This window comes from Homo sapiens, chromosome 7, assembly GCF_000001405.40.
Source record: "Homo sapiens chromosome 7, GRCh38.p14 Primary Assembly".
NCBI classification, from domain to species: Eukaryota; Metazoa; Chordata; class Mammalia; order Primates; family Hominidae; genus Homo; species Homo sapiens.
In genome coordinates, this window is record NC_000007.14 from 152,120,388 (window position 1) to 152,134,802 (window position 14,415).

At 46.1% G+C, this 14,415-nt stretch overlaps 1 protein-coding gene, 1 long non-coding RNA gene and 1 pseudogene across 32 annotated transcripts in view; 2 read left to right on the plus strand and 1 right to left on the minus strand.

The window, feature by feature from the left end:
• Positions 1-1,953, plus strand: part of GALNT11 (polypeptide N-acetylgalactosaminyltransferase 11) — a 96,667-nt gene extending 94,714 nt beyond the window's left edge. For 27 of the 29 annotated variants that reach the window (NR_163956.1, NR_163957.1, NM_001371458.1 and 24 more), the window contains 2 exons: positions 444-581; positions 1,159-1,953. Coding sequence is in view for 26 of the 29 variants with exons in the window: in NM_001371458.1 (NP_001358387.1) it covers positions 444-581; positions 1,159-1,290 (270 nt within the window). In the remaining 3 variants the exon portion in view is untranslated. Of the gene's footprint in view, positions 1-443; positions 629-1,130 lie in introns of all 29 variants that reach the window. The other 2 variants (NR_163959.1, NM_001371464.1) reach the window with 2 other exon arrangements.
• The window catches only part of LOC731075 (uncharacterized), a 33,378-nt gene extending 19,193 nt beyond the window's left edge, over positions 1-14,185 (minus strand). Inside the window, exons 1-4 of one of the 3 annotated variants that reach the window (XR_001745431.2) lie at positions 11,505-14,185; positions 10,869-11,196; positions 10,362-10,458; positions 1,651-9,214 (exon numbers count right to left, since the gene is read on the minus strand). This is a non-coding gene — a long non-coding RNA (uncharacterized LOC731075). Of the gene's footprint in view, positions 1-1,650; positions 9,215-10,361; positions 10,459-10,868 lie in introns of those variants that run through there. The other 2 variants (XR_007060598.1, XR_001745432.2) reach the window with 2 other exon arrangements.
• YBX1P4 (Y-box binding protein 1 pseudogene 4) lies at positions 8,450-9,269 on the plus strand (annotated as a pseudogene).

Consider the following 14,415-nt stretch of genomic DNA (forward strand, 5'->3'; position numbering starts at 1 on the left):
TGTTCCTGAAGATAATCTGTGATTCAGCCTGTGCACTTCCTGACTGCCCCGATGAGGCATCGACGAAAATGGCAGCCGTGTGCCCTTCTGTCTCCAGAGGGTCAGCCAGAGGCTGTCGGGCTCCTCTGTCACCTACACAGTCCAGGAATTAAGAGAGTTATGTAATTGTTAAACCCTAAAATTGGAAAAGAGTTAATTCAGTCAAATTCAATGAACAAAATTCAGCCACTGCTTAGGTTTCTTCCCAGAATAGCACCTCACTTTCTCCTGCCTTAGCTATCTGAAGTGGAATGAACCAAGTTGAAATCTGCTTCCCTGTAAGTCTAGTGCATTGGTCTGTTTCTGCTTTGAGACCTTACAGAATCAATATGTGGAAGAATATGCAAAGTGTTGTTCAGTCTTAAAATTCGTTATCTAAATTTTATTTTATTTTTCTTCTCTAGATCTGGATCTATAATGAAGAGCATGAATTGGTTTTAAATAGTCTCCTTTGTCTAGATATGTCAGAGACTCGCTCATCAGACCCGCCACGGCTCATGAAATGCCACGGGTCAGGAGGATCCCAGCAGTGGACCTTTGGGGTGAGGAGTGCTCGGTGATGTTGGGAGAATGCGCAGAGGCCCACAAGGTTGAGTGAGGGAGTGTGGCAGATGAACTCATTTTCTACCTTGGGGGTGGTCTTCTCAGTCTGCAGTACAGTGGTCCCCCCAGAAACCACAGGTAGTACAAACCCTGTATATACTGTATTTCTTTCTAGAGATACACCTGTGATAAATTTATCAATTAGGCACAGTAAGAGGTTCACAACAATAACTGAAATGAAACGGAACAGTTAGAACAGCATACTGTGGTTGCGCAGTGGCTCCCGCCTGTAATCCCAGCACTGAGAAGGCGGAGGTGGGCGGATCGCCGTAGCCCAACAGCCTGTTTGTTTTCTCTATAAAAACAAATCAGTATACTATAATACAAATTGTGATTGCGGTCAGAAAATATCTTATTGTATTGTGCTGCAGATAACAAACAGCAGAAAACTAACCTTTGGCTAAGAGGGGACTATTGTATCCCTTAATCTGAATTCTTAAGTGCTCCATCTCTCCTCTGGATTTCCATGTTTTGCCAGTAATTGGCAGTATTTTTTTGTTGCTACCTTTTTTTCAGAAAAACAATCGGCTATACCAGGTGTCGGTTGGACAGTGCCTGAGAGCAGTGGATCCCCTGGGTCAGAAGGGCTCTGTCGCCATGGCGATCTGCGATGGCTCCTCTTCACAGCAGTGGCATTTGGAAGGTTAAGGTGGATGCTGTGGTGGGAACGTTGCTTCATCAGGCGTTGCCTCCGGTGTGGAGTTTGGGGCTTTAGGAAAGCCTGGGTTGGGTGGAGCAGAACCATCTTGGAGAAGATGACAGTTCCCTGTCCTCCCGGAGATGCCTGGGTGTGTTAGCAGAGGTGACACGTGTCTGACAGAGACGGGAGCTCTGAGTGTCCACGGGTGAAGAAGTGAGTGTCCACGGGTGAAGAAGTGAGTATGTTTCACCTGGACATTAAGGTGATGTTTGAGCTGCTGTTAAGGAATTTCTTGCTTATAGAGGCAAACCACAGTATCATTTTAACTCTAGAATTGGGCTTGTACAGAAGGATAAAACCCAGGAAAATGGATATTTCTATTCAGATTTATTTATGCCTCTTTTTAATCCCCTTTAATGATGCAGTGGTTTTTATCTGATCAGGAACTTGTCATGATTTCCTTTCTTAGACTTCATAGGAGATAGTGCTTTAAAAAAAAAAAAAACTTCTATTATTTGTTTAGTATGTTGTAAGTAGATCATTTTAAAAAACTGAATCTATATTATGTTTAACTTCAGAAGGCATCATTTATAAGACAGTATGGCAGTTAATTATAAAATTATTTTGATGAATTATGATACAATCTACATAATAAAGAATCCTTTTGATTATTTAGGATATTTTGTCTTGTATTGGGGCCTCTGGTCTGAGGTGTGTTGCATGCTCTTGGATTCAGGTGATGACCCAGTAGGCTCGGTAGAGTCCTCTGCCTCTCAAGACGCGTCCCAGTTTCTTAGCTTGAGCTGTGTGACCTTAGATACTGGACATCAAAGTTGCCTGTGCAGCACCCAGGGAGAGCTGCTCAACCGGCAGTTGGATATAGAGGTCAGACTCTTGGAAGACGTAGCTCAATTAGAGAATACATTTGGGAATCACCTGCATATACTAAAAATTCTGAAATATAAAGTGAAGTTTCCTCCCAAACCACATCTTAAGAGGAGAGATGGTCTCATATTGCAGGGGATGCACTCAGATATTTTATCTGAACCACAAAACAGTTTGCCACATCCTAAATATTTTATCTGTCATTTGACTTCAAAGGCCAGGATGGTACATATGGAAAACAAGAGCAGCAAGATGGCAGATTGAAATCCAACAGTGTCAATAATCACATTAAGTGTAATGAATGTAAATGCCACAGTTAAAAGGCAGATTAGATAAAAATGCAAGATCCAACTATATGCTGCCTGTAAGAAACTCACTTTATGAATACATTAAAATTAGAAGGATGGGAAGATAGATATATGAAAGACATCTGAATAGATAGACAAAGTAGATTTCAGCACAGAGAATATTACTACAGATGATATAGAGGGTCATTTCATGAATAAAAGGTTCAACTTATCAAGAAGAAATAATCCCAAAGTTCTGTTAAAATTGCAAGAAGTACACGCATCCACAATTGTAGTAAGAGATTTCAACACACCTCTCAATAATTGATAGAACAAGTAGACAGAAAAACAACCATCTTGGCCTAATTGACACTACCCAGCAACACAATACTTGGAACATTTACCAAGATAGACCATATTCTGGGATATTGAGCAAGGTGTGATATACGTATAGAAATTCAAGTCATGCAAAGTAGAATAGAAATCAATAACAGACACTTGGAAAAATCTCCAAATATTATAAAAAACTAGCACACTTCCCAATACCTTATGGGTCAGAGAAAAAAATCAAAAGGCTATTTTGAACTGACCAAAAATGAAAATACAACAGTGTGTGGCATGCAGCTGAAGCAGTACTTGGAAGTTTTATAGCATTAAGCACCTATATTAGAAAAGGATACAAGTCTCAATGACTTTAGCTTCCATCTTAACAGAAAAAGAGCAAGTTAGACAAAGAGGCAGAAATGAAATATTAAATACCAGAACAGAAATGAATGAAACAAAACAGAGAAAATAAAGCTAAAAGCTGATTTGAGAGATCAATAAAATTGATAAACCTCTAGCCAAAAAAAAACAAAAAACAAACAAAAAAAAAAACCACCCTGAAATTACCAACATCAGGAATGAGTTGCAAGCGCACTAGAGTCTACAGATACTAAAAAGCATGCTGAACAGCAGGAGCTCTGATTCACTGCTGGTGGGAGTGCAAAGTGGTACAGCCACTCTGGCAAGTTTCTTCCTAAACATACTCTTAACCTATGATCCAGCAGTTGTGCTCCTTGGTGTTTACCCAAAGGAGCTGAAAACCACACGAAGCCTGCACATGGATTTTACAGCAGCTTTATTCATGACTGTCGAAACCTGGAAGCAAGATATCCTTCAGTACAGGAATGTTTTATAGCAGCTTTATTCATGATTGCTGAAACCTGGAAGCAAGCAAGATGTCCTTTAGTACAGGAATGTTTTATAGCGGCTTCATTCAGGACTGCCGAAACCCGGAAGCAAGATGTCCTTTAGTGCATGAATGGATGAACTATAGTACATTCAGACGATGGAACATTCAGTGCTGAGAAGAATTAAGCCATAAGCCTTGAAAAGTCATGGAGGGATGTTAAGAATATATTACTCAGTGAAAGAAGCCAATCTGAAAAAGCTACATATTGTACGATTCCAATTATATGGCATTCTGGAAAAGGCAAAGACAAAAAGATCACTGCTTGCTAGGGGTTATGGGAGAGTGTGATGGTTGATTTTATGTCAACTTGACTGAGCTAAAGAATGCCCAGGTAGCTGTAAGACATGATTTCTGCGAGTGTCTGTGAGGGTGGTTCCAGAAGAGATTAGTGTTTGAATCAGCAGACTCAGGAAAGAAGATCCTCTCTCACGAATGTGGGTGGGCACCACTCAATCCATTGGGAGCCCAAATAGAACAAAAAGGTGAAGGAAGGGTGACTTGCTCTCTCCTTGGAGCTAGATGTCAGCGTTCTGGCTCTCAGGCCTTTGGACTCAGACCAGGACCTGCATCATTGGCTCCCCTGGGCCTCAGCCTTCAGCCTTGGGCTGGAACAACATCACTGCCTTTCCTGGGCTTCCACCTTGCAGGCAGTAAATCATAGAGTATCTCAGTCCCTCATAATCTTTCTGTATTTCTATACATCCTATTGGTTCTGTTTTTCTGGAGAACCCAGCTAACACAGGGAGGGAGGGATGAGCAGGTAGAGCACAGACGATTTTTATATCCTACATGAATATAGAAAAATTTCCTTACAAAAATTAGCAAATCAAATCCAGCAACATATAAAAAGGGTGATACATTATGAACAATTTGGTTTTTGCCCAGGAATGCAAAGATGGTTTAACATTAGAGATTTGATTACGATAATTTACAGTGTTTGTTAGTAATACAGGGGGAAAGGCATACGCAACCTTGCAGGAAAAAAATGTAGAAAAAAAATTGACAGAATTCAACACCCACTTATGATAAAAACTCAGCAAACTAGGAATGGAAAGAAAATTCCTCAACTTCATACAGTGCATCTATGGAGGTACTATAGCTAGCCTCATACAGTGTGAAAGATGATAGGCAACAAGGCAAAGACACCTGTTCTCACCTCTCCTAGCCAGCGCAATACAGCAAGAAAAAGAAAGCCATGTACATTAGGAAGGAATAAGTAAAAGTGTATTTATTTGCAGACTATGATCAAGTAATGCAGAAAATCATAGGACGTCTTCAAAACTACTATTTATCAGGACCACAAAAAAATCAATATAAAAATGAATACTTCATATTGGCAACAAACAGCTCAAAACTGAAGTTCATGGTATTGTGATTGCAGTTTACAATAGTATCCAAAATATAAGAATTTAGGGTACATATGACAAAATATGTGTAAGAGTTGTATGATGAAAAGTAGAAAACATTGCTGAGAAAAATTAAGATTAAATAGAGAATTATACTACATTCCTGATTGGAAGGCTCAGTGTTAATAAGATGTTAATTCTCCACAATTTGATCTATGGATTTAATGCTACTTTTAATCAAAATCCCAGTACGCTTTTTGTGGAAACTGATAATTTAATTTTAAAATTGATATGGAAATGCATAGGACTAAGAGTGGCCAAAATAATTTGAAAGAAATAAAGTTGGAGGATTTACACTAATTCGACTTACTATGCTGTGGACTTACGGATAATGAATTGATTGGTGGAAGAGAAATAGACCCACACATATATGGCCAATTGATTTGCAGCAAAGGAGCCAATACAATGCAGTGGGGAGGGGAAAATTACTATAACACATGGTGCTGCAAGAATCTGATATCCCTGTGGACAGAAATTACCTGTGACACCCCTGCCACTACCTTATACCACAAATAAACATTATTTTAAGATCTAAACATAAAAACTAAAATTACAAAGCTTTTAGAAGAAAATGTAGGAGAATATCTTCATGACTTTAGGGTAGGCAAAGATTCCCTAAGCACTCATTAAAGAGCCAGCCATTGGCCAGGCCTGGTGGATCATGCCTGCAATCCCAGTACTTTGGGAGGCCAAGGCAGGAGGATCGCTTGAAGCCAGAAGTTTCCAGACCAGCCTGGTCAACATAGTGAGAACCCGTCTCTATTTGAAAAAGATAAAGGCCAGGCACAGGTGGCTCATGCCTGTAATCCCAACACTTTGGGAGGCCAGTGTGGGAGGATTGCTTGAGCTCAGGAGTTAGAGACCAGCCTGGGCAACATAGTGAGATCCTGTCTTTAATAAAACTTTTTTTTTTTTAAAAGAACTAGCCATAAAATATTAACAAATTGAACTTCAGAATTAAACTTCTGTTTATCAAGACACCATTGAGAAAATGAAAAAAGCCACAACTGTATTCAAGGGTTTGTGTTTAAAATTCAGTACTAAAAAGACAACCCAATTTTCAAAATGGACAAAATATTTGGATATGTCACCAAAGTATAAATAGCTCAATATATGAAAAGGTGTTCAGTATCATGGTCATCAAAGAAATGCAAATTAAAACGACATTCAGATGCCACTTTACATCCATTAAAATGGCTGAAATAAAACAGACCCACATGGGGGCTTCTCAGGAAATTGCAGGAAAGGTTGCAACACAGCTTTCAGATTTTGCCTAGTCAACATCCACATAAAATTAAAGCAACTAGAGAGGCAAACCCAAAACCCATGGATGGTATTTTCAAAGTAGGTAGGTGGCAAGGTAGCTGCAAATTCTCTAAAGCAGGTAGGAGGAGCTGGATGCCTGAGACCTGTGTGGCAGAAAGCCAGGCAAGCTCCAGGCAGACGGTGTGTTGAGGAGCGGAGGACATGGAAAGGCAATGGTGGCCGCAGGAAACCGAGGAATCAGTGCAGCAAACACTGCGGGGGCGTCTGCCTCTCCAGCACTAGGCAGCGGCAGGGGTCCCTGGGGGAGGGAGGGCTTAGGGGATGAAGACTTCTAGTTCCTTTGAACTGATGAAACTGCCAGGGAGTGGAATCAAAATTGAGCAAGACAGGGATAATAGAGAAACAGTAGTAAGTGAATAAGAATAAAGAAAAAGGACACAGCTTGGAGAAGTAGAGGGAAGTGAAGCCAAGCATTGGCAGAAGGAGTGACCATAGCTTTAGCAGTGCAGGAAAACAGAAGAGGGAGCTCTGCGAGGCTGGGAAAGCCGTCTGAGCCAGGCTGCCCGTGTGGGAAAGCCGTCTGGGCCACGCTCCCCGGTGTGGGAAAGCCGTCTGGACCAGGCTCCCCAGCGTGGGAAAGCCGTCTGGGCCACGCTCCCCGGTGTGGGAAAGCCGTCTGGACCATGCTCCCCTGCGTGGGAAAGCCGTCTGAGCCAGGCTGCCCCACGTGGGAAAGCCATCTGGACCATGCTCCCCTGCGTGGGAAAGCCGTCTGGGCCACGCTCCTCCATGTTGAGAAACTCAGTTCCCACCAGATGAGCAACAGAAGACGATCAAGGCCAAGTCCCATACAAAGTATAAGAAGAAAAAGAGAGCTAAATGGCATTTGTATAATGAAAGCACTCCAGAAGGAGATGCTCACAGAACCGACCCAAACTGTAACATACTGATTCAAAAATGAGCTTAAGTTATGAGGAGAGTGACATGAGAGGACCAAATACAGCAAATCTGAAAACTCAGAATGTGGTGGCAGAACTCAAGAAGTGTGAGAAATTAAGAATAGATAAGGAGGAACACGGGGGCAAAGACATAATAAGGCCTTTAAAAAAGTAGAATTTGACAAGAAGGAAACATTTTAAACAAAAAACACAAGTTCTGCTTCTGGCCAAGAAGGAGTAACAGGATCTGGGCTTGTCCTCCTGGAGTAAAAAACTAGAGACTAGAAAGAAAAACATGCAGAACCTCTTCAGCCAGTGGCTCCCAGGGAGTGGCGGGACAGTAAAGCCCCAGAAACGGGTGAGCCCAAGACTCTCCCCACCTAGGACAGTTTTCTGACTTTGGCATAGGGAGGGGAACTTAAAAAGAGGCCCATCATCCTGCAGGTCGAGATGGACACCAGAGTCCAGGGAGGCTAAGGTGGCTGGAATTCGCATCGGAGGATGAAGGAGAGGAAGGAGCTAAACAGAGAGAAGGGCCAGAACCTGCCCAGGGGCGCCTGGAGTCTAGCCGTGTTGCAGTCGGCCCGTGGAAACTTACTCCTGAGGCTGGGAGGCTCTAAACTGAACAGCTCCCAAAGATCAGGTGGGGCTGGAAATCACTGAAGCTGCCACCAGCCAAGTAACAGGCCCCACTGAGTATTCGGGGCGCCCAGGGCATTCCCCGAAGGGCCATGCCTTAGGAGTGGGGCTGGACTCGGCCAAGGGTAAAGACGCTGTCAGACTCGTCGGAAAAGTGCTTCAAGAACAAGCTTCCAAAGGTGGAAACCAGCCGGGCGCGGTGGCTCACGCCTGGATTCCCAGCACTTTGGGAGGCCGAGGCAGGCAGATCGCCTCCAGAGCAGCCTGGCCAACATGGGGAAAACCCGTCTCTACTAAAAATAGAAAAACTTAGCCGGGCGCGGTAGCACACGCCTGCGGTCCCAGCTGCTCGGGAGGCTGAGGCGGGAGAATCGCTCGAACCCGGGAGGCGGAGCTTGCAGCGAGCCGAGACCGCGCCAGTGCACTCCGGCCTGGGCGACAGAGCGAGACTCCGTCTAAAAAATATATATAACCGTCACCGGGAGAAAAAGGTGATTTAAACAGGCCTAGAGAGTTCGATCGGGAGCGGGGAGCGGGGAGCGGGTCCCAGAGAGCCCTGGGCAGCCCCACCGCCGCTGTGGCCTAGTTGCCACCACAGCCCGGGAGGAGCCCAGGCACCGTCACCCCCGCCGTTTGGGGAACAAATGGTTCAGGGTAAGCAACAGATACGGTTTCATCAACAGGAACGTCACCAAGGAAGATGTGTGTTCATCAGACTGCCGTGAAGGAGAACCCCGGGGAGGACCCTGGCGGCGGGGGAGCTGCGGAGGCCGCGGAGTCCGATGTTGAGGGAGAAAAGGGCGAGGCGGCGGCAAGTGTTCCAGGGCCTGGTGGGGCCCAGGTCAAGGCAGTAAACCTGCGGCCACCGTAACCACTGCAGACGCGGGACCTCCCCGCCGTCACCGGCAGAATCACCAGAATCCTCCGTGGGGAACGGAAGGAGGGATGAGACAGCGCTGCCGCGGGCCAGGCCCACCACGCGGGCCCCACCGCAGAGTCCCACTTTCCTCCATGGAGGCCGCAGTTCTCCAGCCTCCGGGGCGGCCGGGAGCAGCGATGCGGGGGTGACAGCGCGGGGAGCGGGGACACCAGCGGGGCAGCGAGTGTACCGGGGACGCAGACCACGATTCCGCAGGACCCACCTCACCCAAGACGGCCTGTAGAGGACAGCGAGGAAGAGGATAAAGACAATCCGGGAGATGAGACCCAAGGTCACCAGCCACCTCAGCACCGGGGCCGCCGCAACTTCGATTACCGACGCGGTCGCACAGAAAACCCTAAACCACAAGATGGCAAAGACACAGAAGCAGCTGATCCACCAGCTGAGAATTCCTCGCTCCAGGCTGGGCAAATGCGGCTGCTACCTCTACCATCACCCCGTTTAGTCATCAAACAAGAACTAGGAAATTCCAGCGATAAGAAATGAACGAAAATTGGAGCTGAAGACCCTAAGTGCTTGCTTTTCGTCCACTGACCAGATAACTAGAACTAGCTGCATTATCTGTGGGGCATGGGGTTTCCAATTATTTTTACCTAAAGACGTCTCTTTTTGGTAATAACAAAGTGTTTTTTTAAAAAGCCTGGTTTTTCTCAATACGCCTTTAAAGGTTTTAAAATTATTTCATATCTGCTCAAGTTGAGATTTTTAAGAACTTCATTTTTAATTTGTCATAAAAGTTTACAACTTGATTTTTTCAAAAAAGTAACAAACTGCAAGCACCTGTTAATAAAAGTCTTAAATAAAAACGAACAGGCCTAGCAATGAAAGGATGGAATCAGCACACGCCGGTGTTGAAAACGGCTTTGACACATAGGCTCAATGTGCTAAAAAAAAAAAAAAAAAAGAAAAAGAAAAAGAAAAATTACAGGAAAACTTGAAGATAATGAGGATTGAAACTGTCAAATCAGAACTGGTCAAGGTTACTAAAAATAAGGCAAATCTGAGAAACTACCAGATTACTAGTGTCCCAGAAGAGGCTAAGAGGACGTGAGGACCAAGCACCACGTGGTGCCTGAGCCGCGTCCTGGAACAGAAAAAGGACATCATTGGAAAACCCGGTAAAACCTAAGTAGCCTGCAGGTTAGTTAACAGCAACGGACCAATGTTCATTCCTTAGTTTTGACAAATGCACCACAGTTAACATCAGGCAAACGGGATGAGGAGTGTATGGGAACTCTCTGTATTATTTCTGCCACTTTCCTAAAAGTAATCCCAAAGTGCTCCCAAATACTATATCATTAATATGAATATAAAGTAATTCACTTTAGAGATCTGAAAATGTTCTCCATAAAATTGACAAGAAAAAATTGTAAACTCCCTAAACATCTTTCAGTTTCCTTTTTGTCCTCCTTCCCCGTTTTTTCTTTATAAATATGGATGTTTTAATCAAATAACATTATTTTTTACATAGTATATTAACTTACGCTATCAAGAGTATGTGTTTCCAAAAATCCTTCCTTCCTGTCTGAGTGGGGGTCCGCAGGGAAATGAGAAGGCGCGCATCTCTGGCTTCTTGAAGAGCTGTGAGGGAAGGGACTATGACGGTGTTGGCAGCCTCAGGGGCACGGCCACCTCTGAGCCCGAAGGGTGAGAAGCAGCGTCCGGAGCCGTAGGCCTAGACACAGGCAGCCGCTCCACCACCAGACAGCAGGAGCAGAAACACCCAGGTCCCTTGTCCTGCCTCCCGGCCTCCCCCCACAGCTCCCACTGGCTGAAATGAAGCAAGAGCCAGGAGACCAGAAGGGTCAGCCCTCTGGACCCAGCAGAGCAGGGGGGATTGCGGGGAGGGAGGTGACCACCTGGCACTCTGCATTCTGCCCGTCCTCCCTCCCTTTTGTGCTGGAGAAATAGTTGCAAGCTAAAGTTCCCACCTTCAGGTGAAAGGAAAGCTTAGAAATGAAAGTGAGAAATGCTCTGATAGACTCACGTACCAAGAAAACACAGAACGGGGCTGCGCACTCCCACAGCGGGCAAGAGGGCGGGAGAACTTCCTGGAGCAGGCCAGGCGGCCTTGGGATGGACGAGGTCCCGGCGGAACGCACAGCAGTTAGGAAGCATCGAGGCAGGCGCATGCATTTCAAGGTCAGGGAATAGCAGGTCGTTCTGTTCTGAAAGCGAAGCGTCTTCCTGGCTGGGGCTGCTGGATTGAAGCCCTGAGCCGGGCAGGCTGCAGAGCGTGAGGATGGCGCGGGGCTCTGGTGTGGGCGCCTGGGAGCGGGTAGCTGCCATTCCGAGTGAGGAGATATTGGTGGAATGGTTCTGGGGAAGAGAAAAAGGATGAAGTCTCTGCAGTGGAGCTTCTGCGGGCCGAGTGGGCAGGCTGCAGGGTCGTGCCAGGGGTCTAGAGCTCAGAAGAGAGGCGTCTGGAACGCTGTTCCCACCATGTTGGGTTACGTTGTAGGTTTGGCCGAAGTCAGCGTGGCGAGAGCAGAGGATGAGAAGAGTTGAGAAAAGTGTGGGGGGTGCTAGTATTTAAAACGTACACACAAAGTTGAGGCTGTGGAGTTGGCAGCAGTGGGAATAGCAGGGCTGGAGTGAGGGAGGGTAGTGGGAGGAGGAGGGGTCACCTATGAGTGGGGCCTCCGCTGAGAAGTCATACACCTCGTGTGCTCCGCCTGCATCGACTTGTTCTTCAGGAAGCAAAGTTTCGTAAGGTTGCCATCAAGGAAGAAGGAATACTTTTAACATTTCTGTGGTTAGGATAAAAACTAGGTTAAAAGAATTTCTGGGACCCAGGAGTAGTGTCTTCAAAAACGAGAACCCTTGCAGGAACAGAGCATCAGAAACTGCACAGGGAGCCGCAAGCAGGCCTGCTCTAGGCAACGAGGGCGCTGGCCCCGGGACGGATGCTGGAGCATCCTCAGGACAAAGTGGATGGAGAGTCTGTAGTACCAGCTGGGACACGTCACAGGCAAAACCCTGGCACCAGAGACAGGGTCCCACTGAGATCTCGGCCCCTGAAGGGCTCGATGGACCCACCATGGGGTCTGAGGACACAGGAGCAAGCAGGGCCGGGATGCAAGATTCCCAGAGACCTGGAGTAAGGCTGTGGCTGACGGGGGATGAGCAGACAGCTGACCCTCCTAGCAAGTAGAACATGGCTTCCATTTTAGAAGGTCCTGAACGCTTGAAGGAGCCTCCAGGAACTACACATAAAGCTGTGCTGTCAACGGCACGGCAGGAAGAAAACGAGACTTCAGAGTGGCGCTGGGCACTGAGCTGGAGCACGGAGCACATTGTGCAAACGGGCACCGTCGGTCTACTCACCTCCCCACGAGAAGAACCTTGCTTTGCTGATATTTACCCAATTTCTTTAGATATTTGGGAAAGGATTCTTCAACTCTGCCAGAAGGTGATGGGAGCGGGAGTCCTCCCAGGCATAGCTGGAAACCTGATGGAAGTGCTGAGGCCGCCTTATCTAGGAACACATTTAAGTCTAGTAAGCACAGTTAAAAACATCATGATTCTGCCTCTTGGAACCTTAAGTCTCTCTCGTTACATGGTCGTAACTGAAATATTTAAATTTTTAATGTTTTAAATGTAGCACTTCTCATTTCAAAGCTTCTGCCAGTGTATGTGACAATGCGCCCCAGGGAACAGGCCACCGGGGGCTTTACTGCATTGCTGTGAAGCTGAGGGAGTGCTGGTGACTCTGCTGTTGAGACTGTCCTTTCCTATTACAATAGGGCAGGATGGCCCTAGGCTCAGGGCCAAAAGATAAAGTCAGACTCTGTGCCTTTTTTCTTTCCATGGTGTTCACAGCAAACAACCCATTCTTTGGAATTTGTCTACATTGTTCCTGGGCATTTGAAGTGGGACAGTTGTGGTGTTTCTGTCCGAGCCTAATAAAAAATGCACTAGTATCATAGAAGCCATGAATTACTGCATAGCTATGGTTTCCTGGAAGAGCTGGCTTCCGTTATTATTCTTTTAATTGAGGCAAGAACTTGCTCTGTCACCCAGGTTGGAGTGCAGTGGTACAATCTCAGCTCCTTGCAGCCTGGACTTCCCAGGCTCAAGTGATCCTCCTGCCTCAGCCTCCCAAGTAGCTGGGACTACAGGTGCGCACAACCTCACCTGGCTAATGTTTTGATTTTTTGTAGAGATGGGTCTTACTATGTTGCCTAGGCTGGTCTTGAACTCCTGTTCAAGTGAGGCTCCCGCCTTGGCCTCCCGAAGGCTGTTTTTCAGATTACTATTAAATACATACCTTAATGATGAAAAAAGAATGGGGTAGAGACCTTAGAGGGAAAAGATTAAAGCAGCAATGTGGGAAGAAAGCCAGGAAAGGGTTCTGCTCCACAAGCAGGGGCTGGAGAGAATTTCAGAGACAGCGGCTGCCACCGCCACCAGAGACAGGAAACCCTAATGGCCAGATGATCATCTACCGCATCGGACACCACATCAGACTAAGTGTGTTTGTTTCTGTTTGGTGACTAGGACAGAGGGCAGTGCAGCCTCCACGTGACATGGGGCCAAAGGAGGATAGGAGAAGCTGAGGAGAGACTTGAGACAAGGCGGTTTTGAAATGGGAAATGTTTGAGCCATCTACATGCAAAACACCTCAGCTGCTGCCAGCTCCCTCCATGTCACGACCATCCGCCTAGCCCAGGGCACCCCTTGCTCCTCCTGGGACTCGTACGGAGCCCACTCAGCCTCAGTGTACACACGCTGGTGCCCACAGGCGGGCCACCTCTTCTGGGCAGCGTGTCACCTCTATGCACAGTGGGAACTCAGCACCGTCCGGCAGCAGCTTCCTGCTGACCCACGCGAGCTAAACCTGCGCCACTCACCCTTGCTTTTCTCTCATCTCACCTCCTGCCACTCTGTCCCAGCCACACCTGCCTTTCAGTTACTGGCAGCATCAGCCTCTTTCAGATCTCAAGGCTCCTGTATGAGTTGTCCCCTCTGCCAGGCAAGCCTCTGCCACGCTCCCAGCTCCTCTTCATCCTTCAGGTCTTGCTTAAATGCTGCCTCCTTAGAATGCCCCCACGGGACTCCCAGCCCACCTCCCATCTAAAAAAGTCACCTGTTTTTGTCCGTGCCCCTCACTAGAAGGCAAGCTCCATGGTGGACTAGGAATGCTGGCTATTTTAGTGTTAGCGAAGTCCCAGTTAAAAATCTGTCCTAGAAACTAAAGGGGATTCTGAGCAGTTTTTTTCTTAACCCCTTTATATTTAATACGTTAAATAATTCAATAAGATAGAAAGAAAGTCTACCACATAGAATAAAGTCTGAAAAGCTGCCTCAAAAAAAAAAAAAAAAAAAAAAAAACAGCAACATAACCAAGACTAAATTTACCAATTAAACAAAAACAGGCTTTGAACAAGGCACCAAGGATATTCTAAATTTGGTAAACACCCTAAAAAGATACAGAAGTTCCCTTCTTTATTCAGTCGAAGGGAAGGAAAAAGTATCATAATTAGAATGAATTATGAATTTACATCTAAACTTATTTGAAAATCTAAGAAAACCAAG